General features: G+C 53.6%; 1 protein-coding gene across 9 annotated transcripts in view, besides 4 other annotated features; it reads right to left on the bottom strand.

The window, feature by feature from the left end:
• SH2B3 (SH2B adaptor protein 3) overlaps window positions 1-18,769 on the bottom strand; it is a 46,894-nt gene that overhangs the window by 25,355 nt on the left and 2,770 nt on the right. For 8 of the 9 annotated variants that reach the window (XM_011537720.4, XM_047428025.1, XM_047428026.1 and 5 more), the window contains exon 2: window positions 7,392-8,150. In XM_011537720.4, coding sequence (XP_011536022.1) covers window positions 7,392-8,123 — 732 coding nt within the window. In that variant the 5' untranslated portion in view covers window positions 8,124-8,150. Of the gene's footprint in view, window positions 1-5,780; window positions 5,861-7,391; window positions 8,151-18,769 lie in introns of those variants that run through there. The other variant, XM_047428028.1, reaches the window with a different exon arrangement.
• Window positions 183-758: an enhancer, noted in NCBI's record as "H3K27ac-H3K4me1 hESC enhancer chr12:111863315-111863890 (GRCh37/hg19 assembly coordinates)". NCBI's record gives its function as "activates a minimal SCP1, AML or CMV promoter by ChIP-STARR-seq in naive H9 embryonic stem cells {active_cell/tissue: H9 hESC(naive)}" and the evidence as "EXISTENCE:reporter gene assay evidence [ECO:0000049][PMID:30033119]".
• Window positions 7,903-8,602: an enhancer, noted in NCBI's record as "H3K27ac-H3K4me1 hESC enhancer chr12:111855471-111856170 (GRCh37/hg19 assembly coordinates)". NCBI's record gives its function as "activates a minimal SCP1, AML or CMV promoter by ChIP-STARR-seq in primed H9 embryonic stem cells {active_cell/tissue: H9 hESC(primed)}" and the evidence as "EXISTENCE:reporter gene assay evidence [ECO:0000049][PMID:30033119]".
• Window positions 12,223-13,070: an enhancer, noted in NCBI's record as "H3K4me1 hESC enhancer chr12:111851003-111851850 (GRCh37/hg19 assembly coordinates)". NCBI's record gives its function as "activates a minimal SCP1, AML or CMV promoter by ChIP-STARR-seq in primed H9 embryonic stem cells {active_cell/tissue: H9 hESC(primed)}" and the evidence as "EXISTENCE:reporter gene assay evidence [ECO:0000049][PMID:30033119]".
• Window positions 16,163-16,312: a silencer, noted in NCBI's record as "silent region_4868". NCBI's record gives its function as "represses an Ori minimal core promoter by ATAC-STARR-seq in GM12878 lymphoblastoid cells {active_cell/tissue: GM12878}" and the evidence as "EXISTENCE:reporter gene assay evidence [ECO:0000049][PMID:35858748]".

Here is an 18,769-nt window from a genome sequence, read left to right as displayed (position 1 = left end):
CCTGGGTAGGAGCCATCCACAGAGAAATTCTCCAACCTACCTTGTCTGAGGGAGGCAGGTTGTAAGTTCCAGAGAGGTCCTGCCCTACACTGGGAGGAAGGAACACCATGCAGAGGCCAAGAGGAATGGGAGCAAGCAGGCCTTGCTGGGACCCCGCCTCCGTCTAGCTCAGTAGATCACACCCTTTCATCCCAATCCCATTTTTACGCAGCTATCCCTGCTCCATCAAACCTAAACACCAGACAGACCATTTCCTGGGGTCTTTCGGTCTTCATTCCTGAAAGCTACATGTCACATAAAACTTTGATTCAATAACTTTGTGATGCTTTTCTCTTGCTGACCTGTCTTGTTGCAAGAGTGTCGGTCGTGAGCCCGATGATGGGTGATGAAAGGCATGTCACCTTTCCCCCACATAAACACACTGCTCCCCTGTCCTTGCCCTGCCTGGGGCTCAGCGGTGCCCAGGGGAAGGAGGTCTCTAGAGGAAATCATGTCATACTCTCCCATCGCGGGCCTGAGCTGGGAGACCACAGGTAGCCTGGAGGGTCCCTTGCACCCACTCCCACCCGCAGGTGGCCCCAGCAAGTGTCTCAGGCCCTCTAGGCCTAAATCCTCCAATTGTTCCCACTGCTCTTAATGTAAAACCTAAAGTCCCCACTGTGGCCCACAAGGGCCTCTGCAATCCAGCTCCACTACCTTTGTAGTCTCACCTTTCCCTGTTCCCTCGAACCCCAGGCTGCCTGGCTATTCCACAGACTTGCCTGGTTCACGCTCACTGCAGGGCTTGTGAACCTGCCATTCCTCAGCCTGGGACTCCTTCACCCAGATCTATCAGGACCGGCACCTCCTGCCAAGAGGCCTTTGCTGACCAACCCCAGGGAAGGCAGCCCCCTCCCACCTCCCAAGGGCCCACGCTGCCCACCTGCAGTGGCCACTGAGACCAGAGAAAGCTGGGACTTTTCTCCCCTTCTCCTGACCTTGGAAAACACAGACATCTCCTCCACCCACACCCCCACCCCTGGCAGACTGTGGCCTCCCCTTGCACACCCCCAGTCACAGAGTGCTCTCTCCCAGCGCAGCCCTCATAGTGCCCCTGGAGGTGCTACACCATCACCCTGCTCCACAGGCCCGCGGTCACACAGCAGGTCGGGGGCAGAGCTGGGGCCCAACTGCAGGTGAGGCTCACCTGTGGGCTGAGCCCACCTGGCCTCAGACTTCTGGGCAGCTGCCTTCTCTTGGCTCTCTCCCTCCAAAGCCTCTTCCAGCCCTGGGCAGCAGGGCCTCCACCAGGCTGGCACTGGGATTACATCTGCTCCCTCTCCTGCAGGGCACCCTTTAAGTGACAGACCGCAAGTGCAGATCCAAAGCTTAAGCCCTTCGCCACCACCCACTGGTTGTCAGAACTTTCTTTTCCTTTTGTTTAAAACTGTTCCCAGAGCCAACCCCTGGGTCAGAGGTCAGGGATCACAGTTGACTACCTGGCAAGCACATGCAAGAGTTGTGGTCTGAGCACCCTTGGCCCATCACCTGGACACAGATTCACTGAGGGGATGCTCCTGAGCCGCCCGGACTGTTCCACCTGATGCTCCGAGGGGCTAGGAGAAGCCTCCCCAGGGCTGCTTGCTTTGCAGGCAACACCCCAGGCCCCGCAGCAACCACCAAGCCTGTGACAGAGCCCCAGCCAGCCAGGGCTACGGCAAAGCCCTCTGGGACCTCCCTGGTTCCCTGGATTGGGAAAAGCCCTAGGGAATCTGATGGGGCCCTACCATCAGGGCTCCCAGAGAACAGGAGTCTTGGGGATGCCTTCCCCTGAGGGCCCAGCAAGCACTGGAAATAAACCTGGGCTCTCCGCCCGAAGTCAAAACCATAACAAACCACAACAACCGTGGCAACAGCAACACAGCACTCATGGAGTGCTCCCAGCGCCAGGCACGTGGCACATGCGCTCTCCCCACCAAGACACACAGCCCTATGGGGTAGGAACTATGAGTACTCCCCAATGTACAGAGGGGGAAACTGAGTCTCAGAAAGGTGATACCACTTGCCCCAGAGCTGAGAAAGCAGCTTATTCATTATTCAAACCCAGGGCCAGCTGGCTCCCAACACCTGGTCTTCCAAGATTATTTTTATTTTTTATATATTCACTTATTTTTTTTGAGATGGAGTTTCGCTCTTGTCACCCAGGCTAGAGTGCAGTAGCACGATCTCAGCTCACTGCAACCTCCGCCTCCTGGGTTCAAGTGATTCTCCTGCCTCAGCCTCCGTAGTAGCTGGGATTACAGGCATGTGCCACCACACCAGGCTGATTTTGTATTTTCAGTAGAGACGGGGTTTCACCATGTTGGTCAGGCTGGTCTCGAGCTCCTGACCTCAGGTGATCCACCTGCCTCAGCCTCCCAAAGTGCTGGGATTATAGGCATGAGCCACACGCTTGGCCACCAAGATATTTTTTAGTAGAGATGGGGTTTCACCATGTTGGCCAGGCTGGTCTCGAACTCCCAATCTCAGGTAATCTGCCTTGGTCTCCCTAAGTGCTGGGATTACTGGCATGAGCCACTGCGCCCAGCCACTGAGGTTGTTTTTCAAAGTTAAGAACCCTGGACGGGCGCAGTGGCTCACGCCTGTAATCCCGGCACTTTGGGAGGCTGAGGCGGGCAGATAACGAGGTCAGGAGATCGAAACCATCCGGGCTAACACGGTGAAACCCCATCTCTACTAAAAATACAAAAAAATTAGCCAGGTGTGGTGGCGGGCACCTGTAGTCCCAGCTACCCGGGAGGCTGAGGCAGGAGAATGGCATGAACCCGGGAGGCGGAGCTGGCAGTGAGCTGACACCGTGCCACTGCACTCCAGCCTGGGCAACAGAGCAAGACTCTGTCTCAAAAAAATAAAAAATAAAAAAATAAAAACCCTACAGTGTCACACAGATAAGATCATGTATTGGGGCCGTTATTTGTCTTTCATGGTGTCACAGCCTTGAGATTTTTAACAAATGATGAGAAAACCGTTTTTTATCTGTGCTTGCGTTTTCCCAACAGCTTCTGATTGTGCTTGGAATAAAACACTAAGTCCTCCCGTTCCCAGTGTCCTCCACCCACATGTACTTCCCCGCTCCCCATCTCCCTCTCTCTGCTCCCACCACACCGGCCTCTTCATCTTGTCCTTTCTTCAAAACATGCTAAACACATTCCCCACTCAGGGTCTCTGCCCATGCTGTTCCCTCTGCCTGGAAGGCCCAGTGATTTACTTAGAATGAAAGTAAGTGACCTCCTGGCCAGGCGTGGTGGCTCGCACCTGTAATCCCAGCACTTTGGGAGGCCGAGGCGGACAGATCACCTGAGGTCAGGAGTTCAAGACCAGCCTGGCCAACATGGTGAAACCCCATCTCTACTAAAAATACAAAAATTGAGGCCAGGTGAGGTAGCTCACGCCTGTAATCCCAGTACTTTGGGAGGCTGAGGCAGGTGGATCACGAGGTCAGGAGTTCAAGACCAGCCTGGCCAACATGGCGAAAACCCATCTCTACTAAAAATACAAAAAATTAGCCAGGCGTGGTAGCATGCGCCTGTAATCCCAGCTACTCGGGAGGCTGAGGCAGGAGAATCACTTGAACCCAGGAGGCAGAGGTTGCAGTGAGCCGAGATTGCGCCACTGCACTCCAGCCTGGGCAACAGAGTGAGACTCCATCTCAAGAAAAAAAAAAAACAAAACTGCTTTTCATGAAAAGCCAGGCCATAAAGGTAGGAAATGACTTTTAAAACGCAAAGAAATTGTCCAAAATATATAACGACTTTTACAAATCAATTTAAAAAAGGCTAGACAGACAATAAAAACATGTACTTCACAAACGACCAAATTCCGATGACCAATCAACATATGAAAAGGTGCTTAACCTCCATGAGTCATCAGGGAAACGCAAAGTAAAGCCACCTTGAGATCCAGGAACGCAGCCACCGGTGACTCTTAACACCAAGTGCCTGGCTAACATGGTGAAACCCCATTTCTACTAAAAATACAAAAATCAGCTGGGTGTGGTGGCACGCGCCTATAATCCCAGCTATTTGGGAGGCTAAGGCAGGAGAATCAGCTTGAACCCAGGAGACGGAGGTTGCAGTGAGCCGAGATTGTGCCTCTGCACTCCAGCCTGGGCAACAGAGCGAGACTCCGTCTCAAAACAAAAACAAAACAAAACACAAAAAAACCCACCAAGTGCTCAAGTGTTGGTGGGGAAGTGGAACCACCCGGAACTCTCGCCCACTGCCGGTGGGACACAAAATGGTGCAGCTGCTTTGGGAAAAGTCTGGCAATTTCTCTAAAGTAAACATGTACCTACTCTATGACTGAGCAATGCCACTTCTAGGAATCCACCTGAGAGAAATGAAAGGATGTGTGTCCATATTTAGACTTAGATGCAAACTTCATAACAGCCTTATTCATAAATCAAAATAGAAACAACCCAAATATTCATCAACAGAGGATGGGATAAACCAGTTGTGGGACATGGAGACAGCTGTGCAATGGAATCTATTCAGTACTCAAAAGAAACAAACCCGGCTGGGCGTGGTGGCTCATGCCAGTAATCATAGCACTTTGGGAGGCCGAAGTGGGGGGACCATTTGAGCCCAGGAGTTCGAGACCAGCCTTGACAACATGGTGAAATCCCATCTCCACAAAAAATACAAAAATTAGCCAGGTGTGGTGGCACGTGCCTGTGGTCCCAGTTACTCGGGAGGCTGAGGTGGGAGGACTGCTTGAGCCCAGGAGGACAAGAGGCAGAGGATGCAGTAAGCTGAGATCGAGCCACTGCACTCCAGCTGGGTGACAGAGCGAGACCTTGTCTCAAAAAAAAAAAAAAAAAAAAAAAAAAGGAAGACACTATTGACATGTACGATCAATGTGATCAATCTCTAAAACATTATGCTGGGCAAAAGGAGCCAGAAATAAAAGGCAACCTATTTATTAGCTGGGAGTGGTGGCACGTGACGGTGATCCCAGCTACTGGGGAGGCTGAGGCACAAAAATAACCTGAGGCTGGGAGGTTGAGGCTACAGCGAGCCATGATCACACCACTGCACTCCAGCCTAGGTGACACAGTGAGACCCTGTCTCAAAATAAAATAATAAAATAAAACAAAGGCAACCTACTGTGTGATTCCATTCACATGATGTTCAAGAACAGAGAAATCGAACCTGTGGTGATAAGAGGTGGTATGTATGGGGGTACAGGGCACTGGCCTGGGGGAGGCATGAAGGAGCCCTCTGGGGTGCTGGTCACTTGCGTTGCACACACACGGAAACACAGAGCTTCAGATGTGTCTCATACTTCACGCACTTCCAGGTCTGCATGTTACGCCACAGTCAGTTTGAAAACGTTACTTCAAAGGATTCTTGGATGACTCTCCCAAACCGCCAAACCGGGACCCCTCAGTTATCCTCCCAGAGACCCCATTGCTTTTCCTTTAGAACACAGTTTACCAGTTTTAGAACACAATTTACCATTTTTAATTCCATGCTCATCTGTGGGTTTATTTCCTCAACAGCCTCCACTAGGCCCGCCTGGTCCCCCAGAACCTAGCATGTGCCTAACACATAGTAGGTGCTCCATAAATATCTGTCGAATGAATGAAAGAGTAACCATAGGTTTCCTCCACCCACATCGTGAGCCCCTCAGGGCCAGTATCACATCGGTTTTGCTCATGCTCTAGAGTAAGGCCCTACCACGTAACAGGATCCCAAAGAGAGAGCAATTAGATGAAAGCCATATGGTCCTGTCATGCATACCTGAGTCAAAGATGGAGCCTGGCAGGTGAGTAGAACACAGTGACCTTTCAGCCTCAACAGCACAGTAGGAATTAAGCCAGCTGTGAAGGAAAAGAACTTTTTTTTTTTTTTTTTTTTTTTTGAGACAGGGTCTCGCTCTGTCACCCAGGCTGTAGTGCTGTGGTGCGATCTTGGCTTACTGCAGCCTTGGTCTTCTGGGCTCAAGCGATCTTCCCACCATAGCCTCCAGAGTAGCTGGGACCACAGGCGTACACCACCACGCCCAGCTAATTTTGGTATTTTTTGTAGCAATGGGGTTTTGCCAAAGGACAAATTCTTTTTAACTTGCAAAATATCACCAAGGCACAGGAGGTGCAGAGAAATTCTCTGAAGGTTTTGAGCCCTCTGGAAATAAAACACCAATCTGTCAATGCCAGTCTGAGTCAGAGTTTTCAAGGATCTCAGAGTGACCTGCTACCAGCCCACATGACACCCAAATGTGAAGGCAAAAAGGTGTCCCTGGACATTGTACAAAATCCTTGACTGGTACTCCTCAAAACTGCCAAGGCTATCAGCAATAGAGGGTTGGAAACTGTTACAGCCAAGAGGCGCCTAAGGAGACGTAACGACTAAACCTCATGTGGTATCCTGGGGGGCGAGCTGGAACAGAAAAGGGACATTAGAGGAAAACTGGCAAAGCCAAAGGAACAGTGGCGTTTAGCTAATAGTGATGTACCCGTGCTGGTTCCTTAGCTACAACCAATGTACACAGCAGCGTAAGATGTGAACCTTCGGTGAAGCTGGGTACCATGTGTAAAGGAACACTACTATCTTTGCAACTTTCCTGTAAGTCTAAACATTTTTTTTTTTTTTGAGACAGAGTCTCACTCTGTCACCAAGGCTGGAATACAGTGGTGCAATCTTAGTTCACTGTAACTTTCCCTCCCAGGTTCAAGTGATTCTCCTGACTCAGCCTCCCAAGTAGCCGGGATTACAGGCGTGCGCCACTGTGCTCAGCTAATTTTTTATATTTTTAGTAGAGACAGGGTTTCACTATGTTGGCCAGACTGGTCTTGAACCCCTGGCCTCAAATGATCTGCCCACCTTGGCCTCCCAAAGTGCTGGGGTTACAGGCGTGACCCACTGCACCTGGCCTGTAAATCTAAAATTCTAAAATAAAAAGTTCTTTTTTATTGTATTTATTTAGAGACAGGGTCTTACTCCGTCACCCAGGCCTGGAGTGTGTTGGCATGATCACGGCTCACTGTAGCCTCCACCTCCTGGGCTCAAGTCATCCTCCCTTCTCAGTCTCCCGAACAGCTGGGACCACAGGCACGTACCACCACACCTGGCTAATTTTTTATAGAGATAGGGTCTCGCTAAGTTGCCCAAGCTGGTCTCGAAGTCCTGGGCTCAAGCGATCCTCCTGCCTCGGCCTCCCAAAGTGCTGGGATTACAGGCATAAGCCATTGCACTCGGCCTAAAAGTTCTTTTTTAAGAGGGCCTAGTTCCCTCTGGACACTCTGTGGCCACCAGCTGGAAAGCCATCACACCTCCCCAGCCCGCGCTCTCCCCAGGGTGAAGGCGAAGGGCGCAGTGCAGTGCGCAACCCCGCGGGCAGGGCTTACTTACCTTGGGTGGGTCGAAGAGCTCCAGCACGCGGTCGGGGCCATCGGGGCCCGGGGCCCGGCGCAGCGCCAGCCTCCCGCGCTGCCAGCGTGCCCCGCTGTCCATGGAGGCCTCGTCGGCCAGGCTGTAGCGCAGCACCGCCTCCTTCAGCGCCTCGGGTGGCGGCTCCCGGGCCAGGCTCCAGGGCAGGAACTTCTTGGCCAGGCCAGGCCGGGCGGGGGTCTCAGCAGCCTCTCCGGGGGTCCCGGGGGCGGCAGCGGTGTGGGCCGCTGGCAGCTCCCCGGCCGAGCGGCGGCGGAAGATGTGGCGGAGGCTGCGGCGAAAGTGCTGGAAGGAGCAGGGCCCGGGCGGCCGCGGCGGGGCCAGCTCCTCAGAGCTGCGGGCCTTGGGCAGGCCAGGGGCGGCGGGGCCGGGGCCTGGCTCCGGGGACGCCTCGGCCTTGGCTGGGGGCCCACGGCCTGTGTCCCGGTAGTCGCGGCCCGGCGCCCGTCCGTCGCGCACCTCGCGGCAGAAGTAGCGCTGGAAGAGGTCGGTGAACTGCAGCGACACCAGCTCGGCGCGCAGCGGCGCGTGCTGCGGATGCTCCCGGGCGAACAGCCAGTACTGGCGGGCCAGCTCCCGGGCCGCCGCTACGGCGTGCAACTCACAGAACTCGCTCCAGCCCCGCGGGGCCGCCGCCGGGGAGGCTGAGGGCGCGGAAGAGGGCGAGGAGGGCTGCAGGGCAGGCCCGTTCATGGCGGAGACCCAGGTGGTGCGGCCGGGCTGAAAGACACGTGGGTGGGGGGGCGACAAGGAGTAAGCAGGTGGGCAAGCAGGTGTAGGCCCCATTACACACCGGGCACCACAGCAGAAATCCAACGCGACCATAACACCCAGTGCTGGTGAAGATGCAGGGAAACATGCACTCCCCTACCAAGTGGCATTCTGTAAGGGGCATGGCCAATTTGGCAGAATTGATTCTAGACTCTGGAATCCTGCTTTTGAAGTACAAAAACCATATGATCATTTCGATAGATGCAGAGAGAGTATTTGACAAAATTCAACATATCTTTATGATAAAAATTTTCAACAAATTAAGCATAGATGGTATGTTGTACCTCAACACACTGAAGGCCCTATATAAAGGCTGAGGTCGGAGGCTCAGGCCTGTAATCCCAGCACTTTGGGAGGCTGAGGCAGGAGGATCACTTGAGCCCAGGAGTTTGAGACCAGCCTGGGCAACATGGTGAAAGCCCATCTCTCCAAAAAAACCAACACAAAAATGAGTTGGCATTGCAGCACGTGCACCTGTAGTCCTAACTACTTGGGAGCCTGAGGAAGTCAAGGCTGCAGTAAGCCATGATCAGCCATTGAACGCCAGCCCAGGCAACAGAATGACTCTGTCTCAAAAAATAAATAAATAAATAAATAAATAAATAAAATAAAGGCCCTATATGACAAGCACACAGTTAACATTGTACTTAATGGTGAAAAGTTGACAACTTTTCCTTTAAGGCCAGGGATGAGAAAAGGATGCCCACTCTGGTCACTTCTATTTAACACAGTACTGACAGTCCTAGCCAGAGCAATCAGGCTCTAGGAATCCCACTTTTAAGTATTCAAGAGAAATACTTGCTCCCTGCTACATATTTCCTGCTAAAACGTTTATAATGGGGAAAAACTAGAAACAACCTAAATGCCCACCAGCTGGAGACTAGTGAAAGAATCTGGCCCATCTATAGGCTGGAAGACTGCATCAGGGGGAAAGAGTGAGGAAGACCCACCCCACCACCTCTGGGAGAGCTCCAGGGCTATTCACTAAGCGAAAAAGCAAACGGCAGAACAAGACACCCTAGACAATCCCATTTACATGAACATACATAAAACCAAACTACTAATGTTTATGTGTACACAAACATTTTGTAAATGGTGGGCAAGAAAGGTCTGGCAGAAGCAAACTCATCCTGAAACAGTGGGTACCTCTGGGGAGGAATCAGAATTGGGATGTGGGGATGGTGGGGAAGTAACCAAGAAGCCTGTTACTGCTTATCTCTAGCAAGGATGGCTAAGAACACAGATTCTGGAATGTGGGTTCAAATCCCAGCACCAGCCACGCGCGGTGGCTCATGCCTGTAATCCCAGCACTCTGGGAGGCCGAGGCAGGTGGATTACTTGAGGTCAGGAGTTAGAGACCAGCCTGGCCAACGTGGTGAAACCCCATCTCTACTAAAAATACAAAAATTAGCCGGCTGTGGTGGCGGGCGCCTGTAGTCCCAGCTACTTGGGAGGCTGGGGCAGGAGAAATGCTTGAATCCAGGAGGTGGAGGTTGCAGTGAGCTGAGATGGTGCCACTGCACTCCAGCCTGGGTGATAGAGCAAGACCCCGTCTCAAAACAAAAAACAAAAAAACAAAAAAAAAACCAGCAACAACTTATTAGTTATGGGACCTTAAGTGACTTACATGATTACTCTCTACCTCAGTTTCTCCATCTGTAAGAGGGGAACCATGATCATGCCTACTTCATAGGCATATTATGAGCATGAATTGATAGCTGTAAAGCCCTAGAACGTAGAAAATGCTTCATAAAGACTGGCTGACATTGTTGTTATTTCCATGTTGCGGTGAGAGTATATTATTGGTGTCTAAAAAATAAACATAGGGCCGGGCACGGTGGCTCACGCCTGTAATCCCAGCACTTTGGGAGGCCGAGGCAGGCAGATCACGAGGTCAGGAGATCAAGACTATCCTGGCTAACACGGTGAAACCCCATCTCTAGTAAAAATACAAAAAAATTAGCGGGGGGTGGTGGCAGGCACCTGTAGTCCCAGCTACTGGGGAGGCTGAGGCAGGAGAATGGCATGAACCCGGGAGGCGGAGCTTGCAGTGAGCCGAGATCACGCCACTGGACTCCAGCCTGGGCAACAGAGCGAGACTCCGTCTCTAAATAAATAAATAAATAAATAAATACATAAATAAATGGGCCGGGGGCAGCTGCTCATACCTGTAATCCCAGCACTCTGGGAGGCTTAGGTGGGTGGATCACCTGAGGTCAGGAATTCGAAACCAGCCTGGCCAACATGGTGAAACCTCGCCTCTACTAAAAATACAAAAATTAGCTGGGTGTGGTGGTGTGTGCCTGTAATGCCAGCTACTCGGGAGGGTGAGGCAGGAGAATCACTTGAACCTGGGAGGCAGAGGTTGCAACGAGCTGAGATCATGCCACTGCATTCCAGCCTGGGTGACAGAGCGAGACTCTGTCCTGGAAAAAAAAAAAAAAAAAATCACACACACAAAAACAAAAACAAAAATAAATATAAAACAAAAAATAAAAAGGAATAAATTAACAAAAGTCACGGGGGTCCAGAGGGATTTCCTGCACTGACAGGGGACCCTCAGGACTAGCAGACCTTTGCCTGCCCATCTCAACTGGGGCATCCTTCTCCTCCCATGGCCAGAGGGCCTTTCCTTAGGCACAACATCACCAGAATGGCACTGAGACCCCCCACCCCTCTGCTGTCCACGGTGCAGAACAGTTGGGACCTCTGTGGGCACCATCCTTCCTTCCTCCTGACCCTCGCTGGGCCTGGGCCCCTGCTGGAGACCACATATCCATGTCGCTCTTCAAGATGGAGAAGAAATGCTCTCCCTACTCAGGCACAAAACTGGGCCCCAGATCCCTGATATCAGCACACCCTGAATGAACAGCAGTGCCACTCCAGTGACTCCCTCCCTGGGCAGGGGTAGTGGCTGCACAACACAAGCTACAGAGCCACAGGGGCCTGGGTACATTTGCTGCCTCCAATCACGCCCTCCTTCATCCTCTCTTCAGGTGTTACTGAGGGCCTACTGTGTGCCAGACACCAGGCTAGGCCCTGAGATACCACGGTGAACAGCACAGACGAACACTGCTCTCCCAGGGCTCACATTACAAAGGGGGACACGTATTGGCTGTGTGGCTCCTGATGCCTGACTCAACCTCTCTGAACCTGGATTTCCTCATCTGCCAACCAGGTGGCAGCATGGCATCCACCTTGTAAGGAACCCATGAAAGGGAATGCAAGGTGGAGATGCGAACCTACAAATGGGGTTCTCTCTGCCACACACCCCTCCACAGGCACCGTCTCTGCATGTGGCCATGTCCCGCTGGGCATGTCTGCAGGGCAGTGGCAACAAAGGGTGCCCCTGTCACATGAGGCCATGGTGGAACCCCCACAGCCGATCTCCACAAGAAACCCCAAAAAGCACAAGTAGGTGCCTCTGCCCTCGATGGAAGGGGGCCATGCAGAGTCGACAATGTTTTTTTTTTTTTTTGAGACAGGGTCTTGTTCTGTCACCCAGGCTGGAGTGCAGTGGCATAATCATGGCTCACCGCAGCCTAGACCTCCCAGGCTCAAGCTATCCTCATCTTGGCCTCCCAAAGTGCTAAGACTACAGGCACACACCACGACACCTGGTTAATTTTTGTATTTTTTGTAGAGATGGGGTCTCACTATGTTGCCTAGGCTGGTCTCAAACTCCTGGGCTCAAGCAGCCCTCCCACCTTGGCCTCCCAAAGTGCTGGGATTACAGGCATGAGCCACCGTGCCCTGCTACAGTCGACAGTTTTGTACATCACAGGGTCCTTGGGACCCGCACACAGTAGGTACTTTGCACACAGTAAGTAGTCACTAAAAGCTGTCAGGCAGATGGGAAGGGAGAGGGAGGGGCCACATCTGCCCTTGGCCACCATGTTCTTCCTGTCCCTGAAGGGGGGAGGGTCTAACCCCTGCATAAGGGCACCTGTTCTTGGTCAATCCTACTGTTCCCCACACCCAGCCTTGACACAGGTGAGACAGGCGCTGCCCTCGTGGCTTGGAGGATGCCCAGAGAGCTGTGATTCCAGACCCAGGCTCCTGCCCCACCTACACGATCTGCCGCTAGTCACGCCAGCTGCCTGTGGGTGTTGGCATGAGCCATTCCCTCTGCCCTGTCTGCTTCCAATTGCACATAAGAGAAGCCTCTTCTGAGCTCCCAACTGAACTTGACCTTCAGCACACTGGTCACACATTATCACTTGACAGGATGCTTTTATTAGTGACTATCTCTCCAACAGACTGAGTTCCATGAGTCATTCCCTGCTTCATCTCCAGCTCCTAGCATACAGCAGGAGCTCAATGAATGCCTCTTGAATGAATGAACATATGAATGCAAGAGATCAGTTGGATTTGCAAACTCTTGCTCTCCCGGCAGATGCGTGGCAACCAGCATGAACCAACCTCCCCCGCCCCCTGGGCCGTCCTACCTTCCGCACAGTCCTGTATGTCAGAGTCTTGAAGCCCAACTGCAGGGCCAAACCCTGGCAGGAGCCTTCCTCAAAACAGCTGCGCCCACTCCAGGTCCCTCACTGCCCAGGCAACGGCTGGGAACCCCCCTCATTGGGCCCCTTCCACCAGTCCTCCCATAAGAACAATGGCATTTACTGAGCGTCTGCTACACATCAGACATTTTTCTTTCTCTTTTTAGAGACAGGGTCTCACTCTGTCTTCCAGGCTGGAGTGCAGTGGCACAATCATAGCTCACTGCTGCCTCGAACTCCTGGGCTCAAGAGATCCTCCTGCCTCAGCCTCCAGAGTAGCTGTAACTACAGGCTCATGGCACCATGCCAAGATCATATCAGGCATTTTTCTAACTACTTTTACAAAATATTACCTCTTCCAAGGTTCCTAACAGCCCTAGGAGGTAGGTCCAACGATTACTTCCATTTTACAGATGGGGAAGCTGAAACAGAGCGGCCCCATAGCTAGTGATTATAGAGACCCCCACACAGAAGGGACCCCCAAAATGTCTGATCAGTGCCTAAATGCACACAAGAAGGGCTCACTTCCCAATGAATGCTTATTGGATGAATGAGTGAGTCCCAGAGGAGAGAATATAAAAGTCTCATTCAGCTCCAGCTGGAGTCAGGAGTCGGCAGTAGCTCTGTCCAGGTCCCAAACCCACCAATGATCAGGAAAACTGTCACAGGGCAAAAGGAAGAAAACAAAAATGAGAGGCTGGGCTCAGTGGCTCACACCTATAATCTCAATACCTCGGGAGGCCAAGGCGGGAGGATTGCTTGAGCCCCAGAGTTCGAGACCAAGCTGGGCAACATGATGAAACCCTATGTCTACTATAAATACAAAAAAATTAGCCTGGCATGGTGGCTGGGCCTGTAGTCCCAGCTACTCAGGAGGCTGAGGCGGGAAGACTGCTTGAGCCCAGGAGGTCGAGGCTGCAGTGAGCTGTGATCACACCACTGCACTCCAGCCTGAGTGACAGAAGCAGACCATATCTCTATAAGAAAAAAAGAACTGATGTCTGCAGTGTGCTTGGCATGGGGCTCATAAGTGGCTGCTGCTATTTTCTTACTATCACTGTTAGAAAAGAGCTCCAGCCTCGGAGTCAGGCTCGCCCGCCATGGGAAGCCACAGGGGGGCCTGCCTCATGGGCTGGGCTCGGGGCGTCATGGGGAGCTGGAACAAAAGATCTTCTCAGGGGAGAGGCGGCTGCTCAGGCTGCTCCGGGCAGGAAGTTGCCAGCCCAGAGCAGTCAGCTGTAGCCCAAGCTATGGAAGGGACTGTACCAGGGAGGTTTTTTGGCCAGGAGGGCAGCCAGGCCACAGGAAGGTGGATCCCTCCCTGACCCTGGCCCAGGCAGTGGCGTTTATTGAGTGCTTACTATGTGCCAGGCTCAGAGAAAAAGCAATTGATCAGATGGTGACAACCCTGGGATCAGGGGCTGACAAGCTGTGGACAGGAAGCAATGATGATCACGCCAGGGGGACCTGGGGCCCTCAGGCTTCGACTGTAGGGTATGAGTTGGGGGCAGGGTGTCTTTGGGACACTTCTATCCCAGCACAGAGCTTCGGGGGAGCCTGGTCAGCCAGAGAAATAAACCACCTTCCCCACAGAGGGGCCCTAGCACCCAGGAGACCCCCCTCACCTGCTCAGGCTTCCTTCTGGGGCAGGAACCTCCCAGCTATGGGGGTCTCCAGGGTTTCCCCAAATCCTGCAGCCAGGTGAGGGGCAGGATGATGTGCAGAAGGAATAACTCAGCCTGGTGCATCCTTGTCCCCCACCCCCAATTCCCTCCCTGCAGCAAATACATGAAGGCAGCTAGCTGCACGCCCACCAGCTGGGGCTGGGGGGTGTCTGCATCTCAGGACCCCAAGCTCAGAACACAACCGGGTCCACCAAAGGGCTATTGAGGGCCTCGAAGCAGCAGTGGTACCTGGTGCTCCCCAAGAAGCACAGCCAGCCCCAGGCACCCTGGAGCCACCAAGTCGGTGAGAAATCGCAGGACCTTGAATCGCTGGGAACCTGGCTGAGCTGTGGGGTCCCCTTAATCCATGCCCCGCTGAGATCAGGGCTTCTCAGCCTCTCCTCTATCTAATCACCCTGGATAATAGTATAATTCGGGAGGCTGAAATTTTCCTTTTAATGATCAGGCCCACATGCAGAGAAAGCCTTTATCCATGGTAGGAATTCCCCTGCTGAGGCTTGGGGAGGATTTTTTTTTTTTTTTCTTTCTTTGAGACAGGTCTGACTGTCACCCAGGCTGGAGTGTAGTGGCATGATCACAGCTCACTGCAACCATGACCTTGTGGGTTTAAGCAGTCCTTCCAAGTATCTGGGACCACAGCCATGTGCCACCATACCCAGTTTTTTTTTTTTTTTTTTGGTAGAGACAGGGTCTCACTATGCTGCCCAGGCTGGTTTCAAACTCCTGGGCTCAAGTGATCCTCCCACCTTGACCTTCCAAAGTGCTGGGATTACAAGTGTGAACCACTGCTCCCAGCCTGGGGAAGATTTCTTAAAGTGTGGTAAATGAAGTTAAATTGGGCCAGTCCAGAGCCTCCACTCTCCCCTGCCCCAGCTCACAGATATAGGCAGGAAGTCTCACACCTTCAGAGGGGACACTTCCTCCAGGGAGGCCTCCTGGTTGAATCTAGGCCACAAGGAACATTTCTATCTTCCCCATGCCTAGCACCAACTGTTCATAGAGTCCAGACCCTGTGGCCTAAGGAGGCCCAGAGAGTTGTGGGATTCTGACACACACTGCCTGGCAGGCGGCCTGCTGCCCTTTCACAGCATTCAAGTTGCCAGACGCAGAGATGCCCACGGGAAGCAGGGGGCGAAGGCAGGGTCCCTGGGGAGGCAGAGAGGTGGGTTCTACCCCAGGCCACGGGGCAGCTGGCTGGACACTGATGCACCCTTGCTGGGGTCACCTTGTGCCCCGGGGACATTTATCAGGCCAGCACAGTCTGCCAGAACAGGAAATGTCCTCTGGCTTCCTCTGCCCACACCGCCAGCCTGACATCCCAGCCACCGCCCCAGCTAGGTTTCAGGAGGTAGGGAAAGCCAAGAACCATCTCCCTGCGGAGAGGCAGCACCATCAGAATCCCGCACGCCCCCCATCCCAAGGCCGTGGCTTCTTCCTTTCACTGCCTCTGGGTTGAGGGCAGACAGGGGAGACCCTAGGAGGGCAGCCTGTGGGTGAACCTCCTCCCCACGTGCTACTTGGGGACATCAGGAGGGACATGCGTAAGCCCTCAATTACCTCGCCTCTCGCAGCATACACTGCCCTCTCTGGGCCTCTCCTCCTTGAGATGACACCAGTGTGTGAGCTCTGAAAGGGCAGATCCCATGTCAGAGGTCCCCTTGTGTGTCCACCTCCCTGATTGATCACATTCCCAGTCTCCCAGCTGGGGCCCCCCATTGGGCGCCTGTGAGTCAGCCCCTGTGAGGAGGGCATAGACTTCCTTCCTCCCAGGCCTCCCTGGGGACACATGTCCTGGGCAGCAGCCGGCTCCCCACTGGCCAGCCGGGGGGTAGCCACATCCGGGTGGGCCCCCAGGGGCTCCAGGCCTGGCTCACAAGGAAGCCTGTGGCCCGGCCCTGCTGGCCGACCCCTGACAGGGTGGCGTGGGAGGAAAAATCTTCTATCTAACTGCTCAGCTGCCGGGTTTCCGGCTGGGGCGGGGAGTGGGGGGGCACCAGGAGGACCTGTTCCCCTGGGGAAGTGTCCTCTGCCCCTGCTGGGAGGAAGGATGGCTAGTGGTGGCCAGCAGAACCCTGGAGCCCTGGTAGAGGGATGCTTGTCACCCCGGCAGCAGGGCCCCATTGAGCAGATGTCCAGTGGTGGCCTGGTCCTGCTGCCAGGCCTCAGGACCTGCTCAGTCTCCAAGGGATCTCAAGCCCCGGGAAGCTGGGGAGGTGGGGTGCAGGACTCCTGGGTCCAATAAGGCCTGACTCAGCAAGTGACCCCGGCTGAGTCACTTCCCCTGGGCAGCCTGCCCGCCTCAGTTTCCTTGGGAAGGGTGGGTAGTGAGGAATGGGGCCTTGCAGGGAATGAGCAGCTAGCACTGCACCTCTGGACTCGCCGAGGCAGGCGTCTCCGGTCTGCCAGACGGCAGCGGCTTCCTGCCCTGCCTCGTCAAAGATGCTGAACGCCCGCGGGCCCTTGGGGACCGTTTTCCCAGGAAACCTGGCAATTAAGTGCCAGCCCCTATTGGGCATGAACAGCAATGGCTTGCACTTATTGAGTGCCAATTGCATGCCGGGCACTGTGCATGCCTCCTTTTCTCAAAACCACCCTAACAGGGAGTTGGCAACCCCCCTATTTCATAGACAAAAAGACCTGTGGCTCAGAGAGGCTAAGGGACCAGCCCAAGATCACACAGCCAGAGCAAGTACAGCCAACACAGTTCCAGTCCTGACACTGTACTTCACACACCCAACCCTGGGGAGGCTGGAACTCTTGGCTTCCATCGGGCAGGCGAGGTCCAGATCAGAGAAGCCAGGTAACCTGCCTAGGACCTCACACCTGGAAGCTGGCAGAGCCCAGATTTGGCCCCAAAGTCCATACTGCTACCAGGGAGAAGTGGGAATTTAGCAGGAAAAGCCTCTTGTTTTATTAATAGCAATAATATCTACTATTGTTAATTGAGTGCCAGGCTCAGCGCTCAGTGCCTTATGTGCCATGTCACAGCAAGTGCACAGCTGTTAAAGCCTTTCACAGATGTTGTCTCAATTGCCTCAGAGAGCTTAAGTGATCAACCCAAGGATCCCCAGCAATGGGAGACCCTCATGAACACCAGCCCTCAGAAGGGTGTGGGGTCATGTAAACTGGGTCCCAAAGGTGTTTCCAGCAAAAGGAGCTGTATTGGCCCAGACTGTGGGACAGCTCCCTACTATGTCCCTGAGACCCCCTTCACTGACCCTCCCCACCTTGGCTGGGGAGGGCACCCGGTCTCCCCTCACCACAGACAGGTGGCACTGAGACTGGCAGCGAGGAGGTCCCTCCAAGTGCCTCCAGCTCTGCTCCACCTGGGATATGGAGAATGTCTGGGGGTGGCACAGCGGGAGCCAGAAATCCAAGGGCCCAGCAGTCCTGTGGGATCTGATTTGTACTCAAAAGTTCTATTTATCGGAGAAGGAGGATCAGGCCCAGGTTTGAGAGGCATGGGGGTGGGGGTGGGGGGATGAGGAAAGAAAGCCAGCAGAGCTAACACCCACAACAAAAAAGATCATTCCGGCCCCAAGGCTACTTCTTCTCTTCCTCCTGACCAAGCCACTCTGGACACTGTGAATTCACTCATTCATGGTTCCCATGACTCTAGGAAGTAGGTACTATTAGCACACCCATTTCACAGATGAGGAAACTGAGGTGGGGCAGTTAAGCAAGGCCTTATAGCTAAGGAAGTGCCCAGATCTTCAAAATTCTGCTCCCAAAGACCCAGGAAATTCCAGTGCTATGTATGCAAGAGATGCTCAAGGGAGACTACTGAAGGAACACCTCATAGCCAATAACAGTAACACTAATGAAGGCAATGATAAAATCACCACTACCACCACCACCACCTGCAACTGAACCTCTCTTTGCCAGGCAGCAGGTGCTCATTACACACTGGCTCATTAAATCTCCACTGCAAACCTGTTACTCCCCCATTTTACACAGAGGGAAACTGAGGGCAGAGTCACTTGCCCACGCCTTCAGCTGAACGAAGGCAATAGGAGTAGCAAAGCACAGTCTCCAGGACCCTCCTCACTATCCTCCTCCACTTCCTGCTGAGCCCCTGCAGACCCTGAGCCCCCAGCTGCTGATGCTCTGAGCCAGCCCCTTCCCAGCTGGCCGCTCTGTGGCCCACAGGGACTCACAAAAGTTCTAGGAATGCTCACCCTTTGGCTCAGAAGGATTTTCCCTCCCAGAGGGGGTAGTGGGAAAAGGCTCAGGAAAAGTGCACTAAAAACCCTTCCAACTTCCCCCAGTAGGCCCTGGCTCTCATCCTCCGAGCCCAGCCTGCCCAGGTGGCCTCTGACGGCTCTCCCTCCACGAGGGCAGGTCCCGAGGAGCCTCCAGAGCTGTTTCCACTCAGGCAGCC

This window comes from Homo sapiens, chromosome 12 (assembly GCF_000001405.40).
Source record: "Homo sapiens chromosome 12, GRCh38.p14 Primary Assembly".
NCBI classification, from domain to species: Eukaryota; Metazoa; Chordata; class Mammalia; order Primates; family Hominidae; genus Homo; species Homo sapiens.
The sequence above is the reverse complement of the archived record's forward strand: the minus strand, read 5'-3'. Positions and strand labels throughout refer to the sequence as shown.